Raw genomic sequence first — 20584 nt, 5'->3', positions numbered from 1 at the left:
AGGAGTTCAAGACCAGCCTGGCCAACAGGGTGAAATCCCGTCTCTACTAAAAATACAAAAATTCACCGTGTGTAGTGGCACACACCTGTAATCACAGCTACTTAGGAGGCTGAGGCGGGAGAATTGCTTGAACCCTGTGGTAGAGATTGCAGTGAGCCAAGATCACACCACTGCACCCCAGCCTGGGAGACAGAGTGAGACTGTCTCAAAAAAAAAAAAAAAAAAAAGACATTTTCAGAAATTCAGCCTAAAAAACATACCTCTCACAAACCCTTTCTCAAGAAGCTGCTGAAGCATGTACTTCAATAAAACAACAGTAATCCAAAAAAGAGACGCTGCAAACAAAAGATCAACATGAGAGAGAGGAAGGAAATCCCTAGGAGTGGGAAGGAGACAGCGGTGGGAGATGGTGAAATAGCACTGATTCTCTACTAACACCACATTACTTGTAGTTACGGACTGGAACACAGTGATTCAAAAGCTGGCATTCTGAGGGTTGTCATCAACAAGATACCTGCGGCCACTGTACCAACTTTTTATTAACCTGAGGGCAGAATGCCTGGGTGAGCCTGGCCCAGATTCTTAACTGTACTTGGTTTGGCTTATCTTGAACATGTTCTGATGACATCTGTCTTTCCCCTCCATACCAGACTGCCTTGGATCAGATGAGAACAGTCATTTCATGTCACAGAAGTGTTCTGCTTTAATCTACTCCTGAGTGGTGGCTATTCACCAGTGAACCAAGATGCAGAAAATGCATAGCATCCCACTCCCTCTAATTATATTCGTACCAAAAATTCAATACCTAGTCTACACTCTGACCCTGTCACACGGCCCAACTATGTTGAGCCCCATGCTTCTCATGACCTTGCCAATAACCTCCCCAAACGGGACTTCTGTAAACTCTCAGGAAAGTCAAAGCCAGGCTATACCTGGAAATTCAATTCAGCTCATCTTTTCCTGGGAGGCTTTGTCCAACAGTAGCAAAATTTCTTTTCTTTTCTTTTCTTTTTCTGAGACAGAGTCTTACTCTGTTGCCCAGGCTGGAGTGCAGTAGCATGATCTCGGCTCACTGCAGCCTCCACCTCCTGGGTTCAAGCGATTCTCCTGCCTTAGCCTCCGAAGTAGCTGGGATTACAGGCGCATGCTACCACGCCCGGCTAATTTTTTTTGTATTTTTAGTAAAGACAGGGTTTCGCCATGTTGGCCAGGCTGGTCTCGATCTCCTGACCTCAAGTGATCCACCAACCTCGGCCTCCCAAAGTGCTAGGATTACCGGCGTGACCCACCACACCTGGCCCCAACAGTAGCCAAATTTCTAGACACAGCTGCTTTACACTGCTAAATTTGCTTGGTGTTGCCACATTGCTCCCAGTAAGGCTGTATCATTCTATACTATCTCCAGCAATACATGAGTGGTTTCATTTCTTCTTAGCTAACACTAGCTAGTGTAATTTAAAAAATAAATGATAACCTAAGTCTTGGCAAAGGGCCCACGGATGCATCTTTTAGATCTCACATGTCTGAAAGGAAAAAAAAACCTCCACCAATTAGACAAAAGATTATGCAAACCAAGGCAATATTAATTCCAGTTATAGTTTGTTAACTAAATTTTATATTAAGACTATAAGTGATATTAATCCCAGTTATAGTTTATCAACTGAATATTACATTAAGAATATATCTAAGTGGTAAAGTCTTTAAGGAAAGCAAGGGAACTATTAAGAAAAATGTCAAGATAGTGGCTATCTACTAGGTGGATTCAATCAGAAAATTTGTCATAAAGAACAGATAATGTTCTATTTCTTAACTTGGGTGCCTACATGGGCACCCATTTTATTATTATTCTTTAATGCATATATATTTGTTATATATGTTGTTATAACACATTTAAAGAGTGTTATGTCTTAATACACTATTCTGTACATGTGTCACACAATTAAAGATTAGGAAAAAAAAGAATGAGCAACCTCTATGCTCTGATATGGAAATACTTCAAAGATATGTTACTGAATGATTTAAAAAACACATAATTGGGCTGAGCACGGTGGCTCACACCTGTAATGCCAGCACTTTAGGAGACTGAGGTGGACATGGATTGCTTGAGCTCAGGAGTTCAAGATGAGCCTGAGCGACAGGGCAAAACTCCATCTCTACAAAAAAATACAAAAAATTAGGTAAGCATGGCGGCATGTGCCTGTAGTCCCAGCTACTTGCGGGGATTTAGGCAGGAGGACTGCTTGAGTCCAGCAAGTCGAGGCTGCAGTAAACCGTGTTCACATCACTGCACTCCCACTTAGGTGACAGAGCGAGACCCTGTCTCAAAAACAAAACAAAATCAAATCACATAATTAAGAGATTGAAACACAAACCATAACCAGGCACAGTGACTTACGCTTGTAATCAGCATTTTGGGAGGCCAAGGTGGGTGGATCACTTGAGCCCAGGAGTTCGAGACCAGCCTGACCAACATGGTGAAACCCCATCTCTACTAAAAATACAAAAATTAGCTGGGCTATGGTGGTGCGCACCTGTAATCCCAGCTACTCGGGAGGCTGAGGCAGGAGAATCACTTGAACCTGGGAAGGGGAGGTTGCACTGAGCCAAGATCACGCCACTACATTCCAGCCTGTGTGACAGAGCAAGACTCCATCTCAAAAAAAATAAAAATTAAAAACATAAATAAATAAAATGGCTAAAATCCAGAACACTGACAACACAAAATGCTGGTGAGGATGCAGGGCCGTAGAAACTCTCATTCAGGAGGTTCCCTCTCTCGGCTTTGGAGCCCCCCTCCCTCTGTCTCTGTCAGGGGAGCCTCTTCCTTCTGCCTTCTCTTTTCTTTCTTGCCTATTAAACTTTCCGCTCCTTAAAACCAAAAAAAAAAAAAAAAAAAAACTCTCATTCATTGCTGGTGAGAATGTGGGAATGTAAAATGGTACAGCCACATTGAAGGGAGTTTGGCAGTTTCTTACAAAATTAATTATATTCTTAGTGTATGATCCAGGGGCCTTGGTATTTATCCAAATGAGTTGAAAACATGCCCCCAAAAAACCTGCACACAGATGTTTATAACAGCTTTATTTATAATTGCCAAAACTTAGAAGCCACTAAGTTTATCTGTTCCTTCAATATGTGAATGGATAAATAAACCGTGGTACATCACATCATGACATATTCAGTACTAAGAAGAAATGAGTTATCAAGCCAAGAAAAGACTTGGAGGAACCTTCTCTTTTTTTTTTTTTGAGACAAAGTCTCGCTCTGTTGCCCAGGCTGGAGTTCAGTGGCGCGATCTCAGCTCACTGCAAGCTCCGCCTCCTGGCTTCACGCCATTCTCCTGCCTCAGCCTCCCGAGTAGCTGGGACTACAGGCGCCCGCCACCACGCCTGGCTAATTTTTTGTACTTTTTTTTTTACTAGAGACGGGGTTTCACCGTGTTGGCCAGCATTGTCTTGAACTTGGAGAAACCTTAAATGCATATTTCTAAGTGAAGGAAACCAATCTAAAAAGGCTACCTACTGCATGAATCCAACTATATGACATTCTAGAAAAGACACGACTAGGGAGATGAGACAGTAGAAAGATCAGTGGGTGTTAGGGACTTAGGGAGACAGAGGGAGAGGTGCATAGGCGGAGCACGGGATTTTCAGGGCAGTGAACCTATTCTGTATGATGCCATAGTGATGGATACATGTCATTATATATTGGTCAAAATACACAGAATGTACACAGAGAGTGATCCCTACTGTAAACTATGGTCTTTAAAGTATCAATATTGGCTCATCAACTGTAACAATATACATTAATGCATATATTAATAATAAAGGAAACTGGGGGTAGGGGTTGGGAATGAGGGGGTATATGGGAACACACTGCATTCCCCATTCAATTTTTCTGTAAACCCAAAACTGCTCTAAAAAAAATGAAATCTATTAAAACAGAACGCATATAAACAGAACAGTATGATTAACATGCTATCTTACGTTTGTGCTTTTATTTGTACTTGTGTAATTATGTACAAATAAGCTCTGGAAAGCTACACAAGAAAGTAATGACAGTGGTACCTGCTTGGGGTGGAGGGATTTAAATACAAACCCACATATTTACTGCATTCTCTGGCATTAGGCTAATCTGACTGGAAAAACCAAATACATACAATAATCTTCTGCACTTGCACTGAGGAATGTTATATGAAACAACCACAGATAAAGTGATAACCCTTTCAAAGTTGGTTGTTTCTGGGGGTGCTGTCCAAAACACCATCTATATGAAGGTCCATAAAATTTATTCAGACCTAATGTACAGAACCAAATAATTGGTATTCATAACCAATGCAAGACATTTAATTAACTCAATTTGCTTTTTGGCTGCTGGTATTGATTAGTTATTCTTGCTATGTTTCCTTTGTGTCTTATTCATACTTTTCTATTTCATTTTCTGGATCCTTATAAACTTCCTTAAATGCACTGAAAAGCAAAATGGGGAATAAACAAACAACTCACCTGGGATTTGTTCATTTTCTGCAGTTTTGGGCAAAGGCAGAGAACTATGAAGGCAGAACTGGAATAGAGGAAAAAGGAAGGCATTGTTATTAAAGGTCTGACCTGCCTTACAACTCCTAGAATGACTTGTTTAGAAACCCCTAGAGACCACCTGGGAAAATACCACCTCCTGGGAAAGTCCCTTTGCCTCTTCAGAAGGGGCAGAAAAGATCATACTAACAGCACCTATCTTCAATCTAACATTATCAGACACCCATAAAGGCAAGACTAAGATAATCCACTATCAAAAGAGGCAAAACAATCAACAGAACCCTCAACTGCTGAAATTATCAGACAGGGCATTTAACACAACTATGATTCATATACTAAAGGCTTTACTAGAAAAGGTGGACAACATGAATAAACAAATAGGGAATTTCAGCAGAGATGGAAACTGCAAGAAAAAATCAAATGGAAATGCTAAGAAAAGTACAGTAACAGAGTTGATCTTTCAGCAGGTTCATTAGTAGACAAAGGAGCTAAGAAAAGTTTCAGTAAACTTGAAGATAGGTCAAACTGAAACTCAAAGAGAAATGGAAGAAAAACATAAAAGGATAGAGCATCCAAGGGCTGTGAGACAATATCAAATGGTCTAATAAACATGTAACTGAAATTCCAAAAGGAGAAAAGAAGTATTTGAAGACATAATGGACAAGAATTTTCCAAAAATAATAATATGAAACCACAGGTCCAAGAAACTCAATTTATCCAAACAGGGAAAATACCAAAAACTAAACTCAAACAAAAACACACATGGACACATCGTATCCAAACAAATGAAAACCAAAGTTAAAATCTTCAAAGTAGCCAGAGGAAAAAAGACATATTATATGTAGAAAAATCAAGATAATGAATCATAGCCACCTTCTCATCAGAAACTAAGCCAGAAAACAAAGTAGTGACATCCTGAAAGTGCTTTCACAACAACAAAAAAGCAACTAAAGCAAAAAACTATTAACTCAGAATTCTATACCCAGCAAAAATATCTTTCAAAAATGATAATGAAGTAAAAAACCTTTTTCAAACAACAAAAACATAGCGAATTCATTATCAGTAGACCTGCACTAGAAGAAATGTTTAATGAAGTTATTTAAATAGAAGAAATATGATATCAGACAAAAACCTGAATCTACACAAATAAATGAAAATCTCGAGAATCGTTAAAATGAGGATCAACACAATAGATACTTTTTCTTGCTTTTAATCACTGTGAAAGATTATCTAAAGCAAAAATAGTAGCAAAGTTTTGTGGGTTTACAGCATATGTCAATATTCTGCAACATGTATGACAACAATAATGCAAAAGACGGGAGGATGAAATTGGGAGTATAATGTTCCAAGTATATTGACATAAAACAGTATGATATCTTTAAAGTTCCACTAAACTTTAGGGTAACAACCAAAAACTCTGTTAAATTTTTACAAATATACAATAAGACAACAGTGGAGATAAAATGTAATTATAAAAAAGACCCACTTAAGACAAAAGTAGACAGAAAAAAAGGTAAACAGAAACAAAGACCAAATAAGAAAAACAGAAAAAAACCAGCAAGATGGTAGACTTTAACACAACTATATCAATAATTGGCATAAACACACCAATTAAATAACAGAGGTCAAATTATATAAAAAAAGTAAGACCAAACCATGTGCTGTCTATAAGCAGTTTGTTTAAAATATAAAAACATAGCTACATTCAAAGTAAAAGGATGATCAGTTGTAGGAGTCAGGAAATTAAAAAAAAAAAAGATAAAAGAATGGAAAAAGAGGGTCAGGCACAGTAGCTCATGCCTGTAAACCCAGCACTTTGGGAGGCAAAGGTGGGTGGACTGCTTGAGCCCAGGGGTTTGAGACCAGCCTGGGCAACATGGCAAAACCTCGTCTCTACAAAAAATACAGAAAATTAGCTGAGTGTGGTGGCTCACACCTTGAGTCCTAGCTACTCCGGAGGCTGAGGCAAAAGGATTAGGGCGCACACCTGCAGTCCTAGCTACTCGGGAGGCTGAGGCAAAAGGTTTGAGGTTGCAGACAGCTGTGACTGAACCACTGCACTCCAGCTTGGGCAACAGAGACAGACCCTGTCTCAATCAATCAATCAATCAAGGAAGATTCTACGATCAACAGCACAATATTTATTCAAATACACACGAAACAGTTACCCAGAGAGATCATCATATCCTCGACCTTAAAACAAACTACAACAGGCCTGGTGCAGTGGCTCACGCCTGTAAAGCACTTTGGGAGGCCAAGGTCAGCGGATCACTTGAGACCAGGAGTCTACTAAAACAAAATGAAACAAAAATACAATACAAAAACAAACCACAACAAATTTAAAATAATTGAAATTCGTAACACAGTATTCTGACCAAATCAGAATTAAACTATAAATCAATAATATAAAAAGATCTGGGCCGGGTGCGATGGCTCACGCCTGTGATCCCAGCACTTTGCAAGGCCGAGGCAGGTGGATCACCAGGTCAGGAGATAGAGACCATCCTGGCTAACACGGTGAAACCCCGTCTCTACTAAAAATACAAAAAAAAATAAAAAAATTAGCCAGGTGTAGTGGCGGGCGCCTGTAGTCCCAGCTACTCTGGAGGCTGAGGCAGGAGAATGGTGTGAACCTGGTAGGCGGAGCTTGCAGTGAGCCGAGATCTCGCTACTGCACTCCAGACTGGGCAACAGAGCGAGACTCTGTCTCAAAAAAAAAAAAAAAAAGATCTGGAAAATCTCCAAAAACTTGGAAATTATGCAATACAATCTAAATAAATAAGGGTAAAAAATGAAGTCACAAGGGAAGTTAAAAAAATTTGAATTGAATGGTAATGAAAACACAATAAAAAGGCTGGGTGCAGTGGTTCATGCCTGTAATCCCAGCACTTTGGGAAGCCAAGGCGGGAGAATCACTTGAGGTCAAGAGTTCTAGAGCAGCCGGGCCAACATGGTGAAACCCCGTCTCTACTAAAAATACAAAAATCAGCCAGGTGTAGTGGCGGGTGCCTGTAATCCCAGCCAGGAGGACTGCTTGAACCCGGGAGGCAGAGGTTTCAGTGAGCTGAGTGCCACTGCACTCCAGCCTGGGTGACAGAGTGAGACTCAGTCTCAAAAACAACAACAACAGAAAAGAAAATACAAGATATAAAAATTTGAGTGATGTAGTTAAAGTAGTATTTAGAGGAACAGTTACATCAATAAATTGTGTCTGGCCGGACGCGGTGGCTCACGCCTGTAATCCCAGCTACTCGGGAGGCTGAGGCAGAGCACTACTTTAACCCAGGAGGCGGAGGTTGCAGTGAGCCGAGATCAAGCCACTGCACTCCAGCCTGGACGACAGAGCGAGACTCCGTCTCAAAAAAAAAAAAAAAAAAAAGAAAGTAAAGAAAAGAAACGGTACAATACAAAAATATAGTATTACAATCACATAGGACCACCATTTTACATGAGGTCCCTCGTTGACAGAAACACTGTTACGCAGAGCGTGACTGCACCAGAATCATGGGAAAACTTTCGTATTTCAAAGTAGTGAAGAATTTTGGGTGCCCCAAACGGAAAGAACAGTAAATTCCACCCGAGAGAAATTTAAAACGTCAAAACGTATACATGGCAAAATCTACCAGCGAGTAAAATCAAAAGATAAATGAAAAAATATCTGCTGCTCACATAAAGTACCACCGGGTTGTGAGACCTTAGGGAAATCACTTTCCCCTTCTGAACCTCCCGTGTTCCTGGGATAGCGACGGAGATGATAACGCTGGAAGTCACGGGGTGGATGCGAGGATCAGGGGAACACCTCACTGAAGACCCTCTGACAAAGGGATCACGGTTCTCCTTCACCACCGGCAACTGACCAGGCTCCAGTCCTTCCTCCACCCACGAGGCACCGGGCATCGGGGCGTGGCCAGGTGTGTCAGGCCACGCCCCCACCACGCCCCGGCGGGGCCTCGTCCCGCGCGCGCGCGCCCGCCGGGGCTCCAGAACTCGCTCCCGCGCGGCCCGAGCCCTTCGCCGCCCGTCTGAGGCGCATCTCCTGACAAAGAGAAGAAGGCGAAGCCTCATAGCCGCCCTTCCCTCCGCCGTCCCCGCCCCCGCACGTTCGGCCAGGCGTGCCCCGCCGGCCCCGTTCAGAGGCGAGCGCCGGGCAACCCCGGACGCCGCCCTGAGGGTCACTGCCGCCTACGAGTAGCCGAAGTTTGGGCTCCCACCCTGCGCGGGCACGAGCCCATCCCTCATCTCCTTCCCCTCGGCCCCAGGCCGCGCGGAGCTACCTGGAAGCCCCTCTCGTACCTGGAGGGGCGCAGCCTCCACTCGTGGCCCAGTGCCACAGCGGGTCACGGCGCAGGGCGGCGAAGACGCGCGGAGACGGGGGCTCTGTCACCCACTCGCCGCTGGTGGTGGGGGAAGGGCGGCCACCGGCGCGCTCGCAGCACTGCACATGCGCAGAAACAGGGGCGCGGGCCGTTCCCAGGGTCCTCGGAGGGGTGGACCATCCACGTTCGGGACTACATTTCCCACAAGCCTCCGGGGCCGCGGCTTTAGGGACTCTCAGGAAAGTCTTCGCCTTGTTAGGCGGTCTGATGAGCCGACCAAAATAATCTCCTTAGCCTGCACTGTTTTCTTTTTTCCCAGAGTGGGTCGTGAACTACAATTCACCACCTCCCCCTTAAATACAACAACTTGGCTTTTAAACATTACACAAATAATCTATAACTGTATTTAATTAGAATATATGTACAAAATAAAGTATCCATAATCTCACTTTCTAAAGATTAACTGCGTATAACATTAAGTTCGCACTTTGATTTTTTTGTTGTTGTTACAAAACTGGCCATAAAGGTATCATGTGCTGCAACTAGCTTTTTTCCCTTTTTTCCCAGGCCACTTTGTTGAGGTATATATATTTGTTGAGATCTATATATTTAAGATGTACAACTTGATATCTACATTTGTGAAATATTCACCATAATCAAGCTAATTAACATGTGCATCACCTCACATAGTTATTTGTCTGATGAGAACACTTAAGATCTATCTTCTTAGCAAATTTCAAGTACACAATATTGTCAACTATCGTCACATAGCTGTGCATCTCCCCAGAACTACTCATCTTGCATAACTGAGACTTTGTACCCCTTGACCACCATCTTCCCATTTCCCTTCACCCTCAGTTCCTTTCATCCTTTAGAACAGTTTTAGGTTCACAGCAAAATTTGAGCAGAAAATACATTGAATTCCCATATAACCCATGTCCCCCCAGCACACACAACCTCCCCAAAGTTGATATCCCACACCAGAACAGTGTATTTGTTACAATTGGTGAACCTACAGTTAAATATCAGCACCTGGCCAGGCTCAGTGGCTCACACCTGTAATCCTAGCACTTTGGGAGCCTGAGGCAAGCAGATTGCTTGAGCCGAGGAATTTGAAACCAGCCTGGCCAAAATGGTGAAACCTCATCTCTTAAAAAAAAAAAAAAAATACAAAAATTAGCCGGGCATGGTGGCACGCACCTGTAGTCCCAGCTACTCGGGAGGCTGAGGTGGGAGGATCACTTGAGCCTGGGAGGCTGAGGTTTCAGTGAGCCAAGATTGTGCCACTGCACTCCAGCTTGGGTGACCCTGTCTCAAAAAGTATAAATTAAAAAACAAAATCATTGGCACCCAAAGTCCATAGCTTACATTAGTGTTCACTTGATGTTGTACATTCTATGGGTCTTGACAAATGCCTGTAACCATTACAGTATCGTACAGAATAGTTTCACTGCCCCCCAAAAAATCATCTGTGCTCCATTTATTCATCCATCCCACAACCCCTGGAAATCTCTGATATTTTTACTGTCTCCATAGTTTTGCCTTTTGCAGGTTGTCATATAGGTGGAATCATACATATGTTGCTTTTTCAGATTGGCTTCTTTCATTTAGTAATATACATTTAAGTTTCCCTCATGTTTCCCTCAAGTTACCCTGGCTTTTTTTTTTTTTTTTTTTTTTTGACACAGGGTCTCACTCTGTCACCCAGGTTGGAGTGCAGTGGTGCGATCATGGCTCACTGCAGCCTCCACTTCCTGGGCTCAAGTGACCCTCCCAGTTCAGCCTCCCAAGTAGCTAAAACTACAGGCATACACAGCCATGCCTGGGTAATTTTTTGTATTTTTTGTAGAGATGGCATTTTGCCATGTTGCCCAGGCTCGTCTCAAACTCCTGGGATCAAGAAATCCTCCTGCCTTGGCCTCCCAAAGTGCGGGGATTATAGGGATGAGCCACTGTGCCCAGCCTCAGTTCGTTTTAGTGCTGCATAATATTCTACTGTCTGCATGTACCAGTGTTTTAAATCCATTCACCTACTGAAGATACATTGGTTGCTTCTAAGTTTTGGCAACTATGAATAAAGCTGCTCTAAACATCTGTGTTCAGGTTTTGTGAGGATATAAGTTTCCAGTTCATTTGGGTAAATCGTATGGTTGCGGCCGGGTGCAGTGGCTCACGCCTGTAATCCCAGCACTTTGGGAGGCCGAGGCGGGCGGATCACGAGGTCAGGAGATCGAGACCATCCTGGCTAACACAGCGAAACCCTGTCTCTAATAAAAATACAAAAATAAAAATTAGCCGGGCGTGGTGGCGGGCACCTGTAGCCTCGGCTACTTGGGAGGCTGAGCCAGGAGAATGGCGTGAACCTGGGAGGCGGAGCTTGCAGTGAGCCGAGATTGCACCAATGAACTCCAGCCTGGGCGACAGAGCGAGACCCCGTCTCCAAAAAAAAAAAAAAAAATTAGCATGGTTGCTGGATTGTGTGGTAACAGTATGTTAATGAGACAGGAGAGTTCCCTGGACCCCTTCGCGGGACTTGTCGTGGCTAGCTTACTCAGCCACTGTGCTAAAACCCCTTATGGGAGGGGGAGCACAGAGGCAAGTGGGTGCCAGGGCCAGGGTGAGCACCTTTGGGCTCTGGCCCCATGGTAGCATCTAGGGGTGTGTTACAATTAATGCTCTTCTAGCAGTTGCCATCCATGGACAGCTAAGCGTTAACCAGCTCAGTGGAGAGTGAGGGTGACAGCCTTTTACACCCTGCCCTCTTAATACCCAGGTCCTTGTCCAGCATCCAGAAAGGATCAGGTCACATGGACTTGAAGAATGGTAAATGCAGAGGTTTTATTGAGTGAGGGAGGTGGCTCTCAGCAGGATGGGGAGCTGGAAAGGGGATGGCGTGGGAAGATAATCGTCCCCTGGAGTTCTGCTGTCCCTGGCCAAATTCCTCTCTGACCATCCAGCTACCTCTTCAATGCTCAATTGCTTCTTCTCTTTTCTCCTTCTCCACCACCTTGCTCTGCAGCTCTGCCCCTCTGCCCCTCTGCTGCTCTTCTGTTTGTGGAGCCTGGGATTTGGGGTTCTTATGGGCACAGGATAGAGAGCAGGGTGGGCCACAATGGTCTTGGAAAAGGCAACGTACAGGCGTGAAAACAGGAATGCCTGTTCTCATTTAGGGCCATGGGTCCAAGCTTGAGGGTAAGAACCCTCACCAGGAATCCCGCCCTCCTGCCTCCTGTCCATATCATTAGTTTTGTAAGAGACTGCCAACACTGTCTTCCAAAGTGGCTGCATCATTTTGCACCCACCAACAATGAATAAGAATTCCTGTTGCTCCAATTTCTCACCAGCATTTGTTGTCAGTGTCTTGAATTTTGGCCATTCTAATAGGTATGTAGTGGTAGCAGCTTGCTTTTAATTAAAACAATATCCTCAAACAGGTTCATAGAAAGGTGTTTACACCAATGTTCATAGCAGCATTATTCACAATATCCAAAGGTGGAGACAATCCAAGTGTCCATTAGCTGATGAATGGATACAGTGGAATATTATTCAGCCATATCAAAGAATGACGTTCTGGTACACGCTACAACGTGATTAAAACTTGAAAATACACTAAGTGAAATAAGCCAAGCTGGAGGTAGTGGCATGTGCCTGTGGCCCCAGCTACTCAGGAGGCCGAGGCAGGAAGATCACTTGACCCAGGAGTTCGAGGCTGCAGTGACCTATGATTGCACGACTGCACTCCAGCCTGGGTAGTAGAATGAGACTCTGTTTCTTAAAAGAAAAGAAAAGAAAAAAAGAAAGAAGGCAGACACAAAAGGACAAATACTGTATGATTCCATTTATATGACGTACCTAGGATAGGCAAATTTATAAAGACAGAAAGTAAAACAGAGTTACCAGGGACTGGAATAAAAAGGGATGGGGAGTTAGTGCTTAAACGGTATAGCGTTTCTGTTTGGGATAATGAGAAAGTTCTGGAAGGAGAAAGTGGTGATGGATATACAACATTGTGATGTGAGTGTACACATCAAATTTTTCTGAAGATCTTATTATACCAACATTTAAAAATTATAAATTACCATAACCTATAATCTTATGGAAAGATGTATATACAAGAATGTTCCTCACATTGCCATTTATATTTGCAAAACCTTGGGAAGGATCTAAAAATCTTTTAGTAGGTAAACGTAAAATAAATTGTGGTGATATGTAAGGAGAATTTGGGGAAACACTAAAAAGGATAATGTGTATTACCCACGTGGGGGTTATTTCATTGAGAAATGAAATAATACTGATCACACAAGAATATGTGCAGCGTAATCCTATTTTTGTAAAAAACTATGCATATTTTAAAAAGACTAAACACTGAACTATACGAAGAGAATGGAGAACTCCCCCCACACACACATACACACAAGATAAATTCCCCTTACCGCCTTATGTGTAACAGCACTGAGTAAGCACCACGTGTGTGGGCTGTACTTTTCAAGACCTTCTAAAATTCACAACCACATTGTCCTCTATTAATTTTCCCTGAAAAATAAAGAGAAAGTGTAGCGGGTGTTTCTGAGAAACACATTGCTGACCTGGCCAGCTCATGCAGAGGTTCTAAATGTTGACACCTTTTATTATACAGTATCAAACAACTACATTAATATCACCACTGGTGGCCGGTGCAGTGGCTCATGCCTGTAATCCCAGCACTTTGGGAGGCCAAGGCAGGCAGATCCCTTGAGCCCAGGAGTTTGAGACAAGCCTGGGGAACATGGCAAAACCATCTCTACCAAAAAAATAAACAAAAATTAGGTGGGCGCAGTGGCATGCACCTGTAGTTCCAGCTACTCTGGAAGCTGAGGTGGGAGGTTCACTTGAGCCCAGGAGGTTGACGCTGCAGTGAGCTGTGATCATGCCACTGCATTCGAGCCTGGGCAATAGAGTGAGACTATGTCTCAAAAAAAAAAAAAAAAAAAAAAGATTCACCTCCTGGATCCCCAGAAAAGGGCTTGGAGACCCCAGGGTCTGTAGATCATACTTTAAATGTAATAACAATATTATCACACATAAAAAATTAACAGGGCTGGGCACAGTGGCTCACGCCTGTAATTCCAGCACTTTGGGGGGCCAAGGCGGGCAGATCATCTGAGGTCAAGAGTTCGAGACCAGCCTGGCCAACATATTGAAACCCCATCTCTACTAAAAACACACAAAAAAATTAGCTGGGCCTGGTGGCATGCACCTGGAGTCTCAGCTACTTGGGAGGCTGAGGCAGGAGGATTGCTTGAACTCGAGGGGCGGAGGTGGCAGTGAGCCCAGATCACACCATTGCACTCCAGCCTGGGCAACAAGAGTGAGACTCCATCTCAAAAACAAAAACAAAACAAAAAATTCAGGCCCAGTGAATCCACGTACTCAGATTGTGTGATGTCTTCTCATATATACATTTCCCCTCTATATCTTTTTTTTTATTTGCCATTTAGTTGTTGAAAACACTGGGTTATTTATTCTAAGGAAATTCTATATGGTCTGGATTTTCCTAACCATGTTAAATTTTGTATATCAATTGTCAAAGTCAAATAAAATATAGAAATGAATCTCTAAATGTAAAATGTTTTATTTGGGGACTGGGTGCAGTGGCTCAGGCCTGTAATCCCAGCACTTTGGGAGGCCAAGGTAGGCAGATCACTTGAGGTCAAGAGTTCAAGATCAGCCTGGCCAATATGGTGAAACCTCATCTCTACTAAAAATATAAAAATTAGCTGGGTGTGGTGATGGACACCTGTACTCCCAGATACTTGGGAGGCTGAGGCAGGAGAATCACTTGACCCTGGAGGCCAAGGTTGCAGTGAGCTGAGATCGCACCACTGCACTCCAACCTGGGTGACAAAGTGAGACTCTGTCTCAAAAAATAAAAATATAGATAAAATAACAGGTTTTATTTGGGAAGCAAGAATTGCAATATGAGGCATCCACATAGACTGGGTAGTCTTCAGTATGTCAGAAGAATTAAGTGAAGTTTGGGAATTTTATGAGCAAGAGAAATATTATGAATTGTTTTGAAAGAAGCTCACTGGTGCTAGAGACACTTTTGGGAGCTAGCAAGCTCAGATTGGTGAGTGACAACAGTAGATTAAACTAGTCTTAGAGTGATGGCAGGTCACTTCAGCAGCTACTAGGTCCAACTGGTCTTAGGGTTACAGCAGGACGTTTCAGCAGCTGGCCTCACAGAAAATTTATTTTTCTTTTCTTTTTTTTTTTTTTAGGAAGTCTTGCTCTGTCACCAGGCTGGAGTGCAGTGGTGTGATCTCAGCTCACTGCAACTTCCACCTTCCGGGTTAAAATGATTCTCCTGCCTCAGCCTCCCGAGTAGCTGGGACTACAGGTGTGCACCACCACGCCCAGCTAATTTTTTTTTTTTTTTTGTATTTTTAGTGGAGACGGGGTTTCACCATGTTGGCCAGGATGGTGTCGATCTCTTGACCTTGTGGTCTGCCTGCCTTGGCCTCCCAAAGTGCTGGGATTACAGGTATGAGCCACCGCGCCCAGCCTCTTTTTTTTTTTTTTTTCTTTGAGATGGAGTCTTGCTCTGTTGTTCAGGCTGGAGTGCAGTGGCGCGATCTCGGCTCACGGCAATGTCTGCCTCCTGGGTTCAAGCAATTCTCCTGCCTCAGTCTCTCAAGTAGCTGGGATTACAGGCGCCCACCATCATCATGCCCAGCTCATTTTTGCATTTTTAATGGAGATGGGATTTCACCATTTTGGCCAGGCTGGTCTTGAACTCCTGACCTCAAATGATCCACTCGCCTCAGTCTCCCAAAGTGCTGGGATTACAGACTTGAGCCACCATGGTGCAGCCTCTTTTTCTCTCTTTTTTTTTTTTTAAATTAATTTGTTTATTTTGCAGAGACAGGGTCTCCCTATCCTGCCCAGGCTGGTCTCAAATTCCTGGTCTCAAGCAATCCTCCCAAACCTTGGCCTCTCAAAGCACTGGGATTATAGGCGTGAGCCACTACACACAGATAATTTATTTCTTGGAGTAAGTGCTATGTGCCCTAAGTGCATTTTTTTCTGACCTCTCAACTCTGATTTAGTTGGATATGACAAGAATGACCCAATTTGGGCTGGGCGCGGTGGCTCACGCCTGTAATCCCAGCACTTTGGGAGGCCGAGGCGGGCGGATCACAAGTTCAGGAGATCGAGACCATCCTGGCTAACACGATGAAATCCCGTCTCTGCTTAAAAAAATACAAAAAATTAGCCAGGTGTGGTGGTGGGCGCCTGTAGTCCCAGCTACTCGGGAGGCTGAGGCAGGAGAATGGCATGAACCCGGGAGGCGGAGCTTGCAGTGAGCCGAGATTGCACCACTGCACTCCAGCCTGGGCGACAGAGCGAGACTCCGTCTCAAAAAAAAAAAAAAAAAAAAAAAAAGAATGACCCAATTTGTATAATCAACTTTTTCACTCGATTTTCTGTTCCTTCTTCTGGACTGTGAACCAGAGAAAGTCAATGTTTAAGAACAATTTTTGGAGAAAGTCAATGTTTAAGAACAATTTTTGGCCAAATATTAGCAATGATTCTCTTCTCCTTGCCAGGTTTCAAAATGATTATTTTTGTGAGGTTCTGAATGACAAGTTTAGACTTTTCTCCCAAGTGTTGTGTTTTTTTGAGATGGAGTCTTGCTCTGTCGCCCAGGCTAGAGTGCAGTGGTGCGATCTCGGCTCACTGCAAGCTCCGCCTCCCGGATGCATGACTTTCTCCTGCCTCAGCCTTCCGAGTAGCTGGGACAACAGGCGCCCAACACCACGCCCGGCTAATTTTTTGTATTTTTAGTAGAGACGGGGTTTCACCGCGTTAGCCAGGATGGTCTCGATCTCCTGACCTCGTGATCCGCCCGCCTTGGCCTCCCAAAGTGCTGGGATTACAGGCGTGAGCCACCGTGCCCGGCCTCCCCCAAGTGTTTTTATTTTCTATTCCTTTATTCAGCATTGCTGCAATGCTTGCGTAAGTTTGTCAGCTGCTGGTGGCAGGCGCCATGCCAGAGCACAGCTGTGACTAAGACACAAGCTCTCTGTCCTGGTGGAGCTTACATTGTAGTTGGGGGGACAATAAGAATAAACAATGAGTAAAATATATAGCATGTCAGATGGTGTTCATTGCTAAGGAGGTCATAGCAGGAGTTGAGGGGACAGTGCATTGTTTTTCAATTTTTTTTCTTTTTGTAGAGACAAGATCTCGCTCTGTTGCCCAGGCTGGTCTCGAACTCCTGAGCTCAAGTGGTCCTCCTGTCTCAGTCTCCCAAGGTGCTGGGATTAGAAGCATGAGCCACCACACCTGGCCTCAACTTTTTTTTTTTTTGAGATGGAGTTTCACTCTTGTTGCCCAGGCTGGAGTGCAATGGCGTGATCTCAGCTCACCGCAACGTCTACCTCTCAGGTTCAAGAGATTCTCCTGCCTCAGCCTCCTGAGTAGCTGGGATTACAGGAGTGCACCACCACGCCCGGCTAGTTTTGTGTTTTTAGTAGAGACGGGGTTTCTCCACGTTGGTCAGGCTGGTCTTGAACTCCCAACTTCAGGTGATCCTCCCACCTTGGCTTCCCAAAATGGGAGGATTACAGGCATGAGCCACTATGCCTGGCCAGCCTCAACTTTTTTTATTGTGGTAAAATACATATGTAATAAAATTTACTATCTTAACCATTTTCAAGTGTACAGTTCAGAGGTATTAAATACATCCACAATATCGCGCAACTATCCCCACTATCCATCGCTGGAACTCTTTTCATCTTGTAAAACTGAAACTCTACCCATGAAACACTAACTCCCATTTCTTCCTTCCCCAGCCCTTGGCAACCACCATTCTTCTTCCTGGTTCTATGAATTTTGATGACTCTAAGTATAAACCACCTGGCTTGTCCAAGGCCTCCATGTAAACAAAGCCACTCTTATCAAGAGGGATCTCCTGGCCAGGTGTGGTAGCTCATGCCTGTAATCCCAGCCTCCACCTCCTGGCCTCAAGCAATCCTCCCACCTCAGTCTCCTGAGTAGCTCGGACCACACATGTGCGCCACCATGCCCAACTTATTTGTTTATTTTTGGTAGAGATGGGGTCTCTCTCTGTTGCCCAGGCTGGTCTCAAACTCCTGGGCTCAAGCAATCCTCCTGGTTCAACCTCCTTAAGTGCTGAAATTATAGGCGTGAGCCCCCAGGCCCGACTGGCTCTGACGGTGTTTTTTTTTTTTTTTTTTTTTTTTTTTTGAGATGGAGTCTCGCTCTATCGCCCAGGCTGGAGTGCAGTGGCGCAACCTCGGCTCACTGCAAGCTCCGACTCCTGGGTTCAAGCCATTCTCCTGCCTCAGCCTCCCGAGTAGCTGGGACTACAGGCACCCGCCACCACACCTGGCTAATTTTTTGTATTTTTAGTAGAGACGGGGTTTCGCCGTGTTAGCGAGGATGGTCTCGATCCCCTGACCTCGTGATCCGCCCACCTCAGCCTCCCAAAGTGCTGGGATTACAGGCGTGAGCTGCCGCGCCCAGCCCAGCTCTGACAGTTTTGAGGGATTACTAGATAGGTATTTTGTAGGATGCTTTTCTATTGAAATGTATCCGATGTTTTTCTCATGATTAGAATGGAGTTGTGGGTTTTGGGGAGGAAGATCCTAGAGGTAAAGTGCCACTTCCATTACGTCATCATAGCAAGGATCTGGCATTAATTTCCTAGAGCTGTCATCACAAAGGACCACATACTGGGCAGCTGAAAACACCATGCATTTATTTTTTCACAGTTCTGGAGAACGGAAGTCTAAAGGCAAGGTGTCGGCAAGGTCCTGCTGCTGCTGAAAGCCGCAGGGGGCAGCCTGCCATGCTTCTTCCTGCCTTCCAGGGATTTCCCTCGCTGCTGCGGCTGGCTCTGCATCACTTCCCTCATGTAGCGTTCTCCCCTCCGGGGTCCATTTCTCTTCACCTCTTCTAATCAGGATACTAGCCATATTGGATTAAGGGCCCACTCTACTCCAGTGTGACCTCATCTTAGCTAATTACATCTGCAATCACTATTTGCAAATAAGGTCACAGTCCGAGGTTGCAGGGAGGATGTGAGCTTTGGGAGGACGTGATTCGACCCAGTAAAGGTACATGCTATCCACATGGCTTATGAGTGTTAATATCGACCTTGATCATCCTGCTGAAGGTGTGTCTCCACTATAAAGTTACTCCTTTTGTTTGTCCTTTTTATTCTGTACTCTTTGGAAGGAAGTCACTCTGCACAGTCCACGTTTAACAAGTGGGAAGTTGGCTGTGCGCGGTGGCTCACGCCTGTAATCTCAGCACTTTGGGAGGCCAAGGTGGGTGGATCATAAGCTCAAGAGACAGAGACCATCCTGGACAACATGGTGAAACCCCATCTCTACTAAGAATACAAAAATTAGCCAGGTGTGGTGGCGCACGCCTGTAGTCCCAGCTACTTGAGAGGCTGAGGCAGGAGAATCACTTGAACCCGGGAGGTGGAGGTTGCAGTGAGCCAAGATCACACCACTGCACTCCAGCCTGAAAACAGAGTGAGACTCCGTCTCAAAAAAAAAAAAAAAAAAAAAAAAAAAAAAAGGAAGTGGGAGGTTATGTCACCCTGCCTTTAGGGTGAGGTATCTAAATAATTTATTTGGAATTCTGCAGGTGAGGCTTGTCTCTTTTCCCCATTTACTAATGTATTCAATCATTTATTTATTTATTTGGACACAGAATCTCACTCTGCCACCTAAGCTTGGGGTACAGTGATGGAATCCTAGCTCCCTGCAACTCCTGGGCTCAAGTGATGCTCCTGCCTAAGCCTCACTGCATGCAGCTCATTAAAGGAATATTTTGGGGCCGGGCGTGTTGGCTCATGCCTGTAATCCCAGCACTTTGGGAAGCCAAGGCGGGCGGATCACGAGGTCAGGAGATCGAGGCCATCCTGGCTAACACGGTGAAACCCCGTCTCTACTAAAAATACAAAAAAAAATTAGCCGGGCGTGGTGGTGGGCGCCTGTAGTCCCAGCTACTCAGGAGACTGAGGAGGCAGGAGAATGGCGTGAACCCAGGAGGCGGAGCTTGCAGTGAGCCAAGATCGCGCCACTGCACTCCAGCCTGGGACAGAGCGAGACTTGGTCTCAAAAAAAAAAAAAAAAAAAGAATTTTTTTTGTAGAGACTGAGTCTCTCTCCCTGTTGACCATGCTGGTCTTGAACTTCTGCTCTCAAGTGATCTTCCCACCTAAGCCTCCCAAAGTGCTGAAATTGCAGGTGTGAGCCACTGCACCCAGCCTCAGTTACTTATTAATATATCACTATGGACTCATGAATACTTAACTTTGGGGAATAACCCAATATTATTCTACTTAGTTTGTCAATCAAAGTGTTCTAGCTTTGGCCCTTAGGAGTTCTCTCAGGTGACTCCTGGGCCCCTTTGACATGCCCAATCAGTGTGTGTGTGAACACTCTCTTACTTTCTGACATTACAAGATAATCCAGGGCCATCTCATATATTTCCTTCCCCTTGTCCTAAAATCAGCCCTTTCTCCAAGGGCCCCTGGTTCCTTTACTGGAGATTGGCATTAGAAACACAAATGCTGGCCCCGGGTGGGCTCCTTGCTTCTTAGGGTATTATTATTATTTTTAGGACCCCTTGGCTGACAGAGCAAAGAAATATATGTATGTATACTAAGGTGTGCATATACATATATCTACAAACAGGGTCCTTTTTTTTC

General features: G+C 44.4%; 1 protein-coding gene across 12 annotated transcripts in view, besides 2 other annotated features; it reads right to left on the bottom strand.

The window, feature by feature from the left end:
* Window positions 1–20584, bottom strand: part of ZFP1 (ZFP1 zinc finger protein) — a 53233-nt gene that overhangs the window by 14763 nt on the left and 17886 nt on the right. For 3 of the 12 annotated variants that reach the window (XM_024450168.2, NM_001318469.2, NM_001318473.2), the window contains exons 1-2: window positions 8810–8948; window positions 4506–4563 (exon numbers count right to left, since the gene is read on the bottom strand). In XM_024450168.2, coding sequence (XP_024305936.1) covers window positions 4506–4520 — 15 coding nt within the window. In that variant the 5' untranslated portion in view covers window positions 4521–4563; window positions 8810–8948. Of the gene's footprint in view, window positions 1–260; window positions 336–4505; window positions 4564–8204; window positions 8572–8809; window positions 8949–20584 lie in introns of those variants that run through there. The other 9 variants (NM_001318476.2, NM_153688.4, NM_001318474.2 and 6 more) reach the window with 6 other exon arrangements.
* Window positions 8358–8727: a silencer, noted in NCBI's record as "silent region_7709". NCBI's record gives its function as "represses an Ori minimal core promoter by ATAC-STARR-seq in GM12878 lymphoblastoid cells {active_cell/tissue: GM12878}" and the evidence as "EXISTENCE:reporter gene assay evidence [ECO:0000049][PMID:35858748]".
* Window positions 9088–9137: an enhancer, noted in NCBI's record as "active region_11123". NCBI's record gives its function as "activates an Ori minimal core promoter by ATAC-STARR-seq in GM12878 lymphoblastoid cells {active_cell/tissue: GM12878}" and the evidence as "EXISTENCE:reporter gene assay evidence [ECO:0000049][PMID:35858748]".

Source organism: Homo sapiens, chromosome 16 (assembly GCF_000001405.40).
Source record: "Homo sapiens chromosome 16, GRCh38.p14 Primary Assembly".
Lineage (NCBI taxonomy): Eukaryota > Metazoa > Chordata > Mammalia > Primates > Hominidae > Homo > Homo sapiens.
Note: the sequence above shows the minus strand (reverse complement) of the source record. Positions and strands in the feature narration are given on the sequence as shown.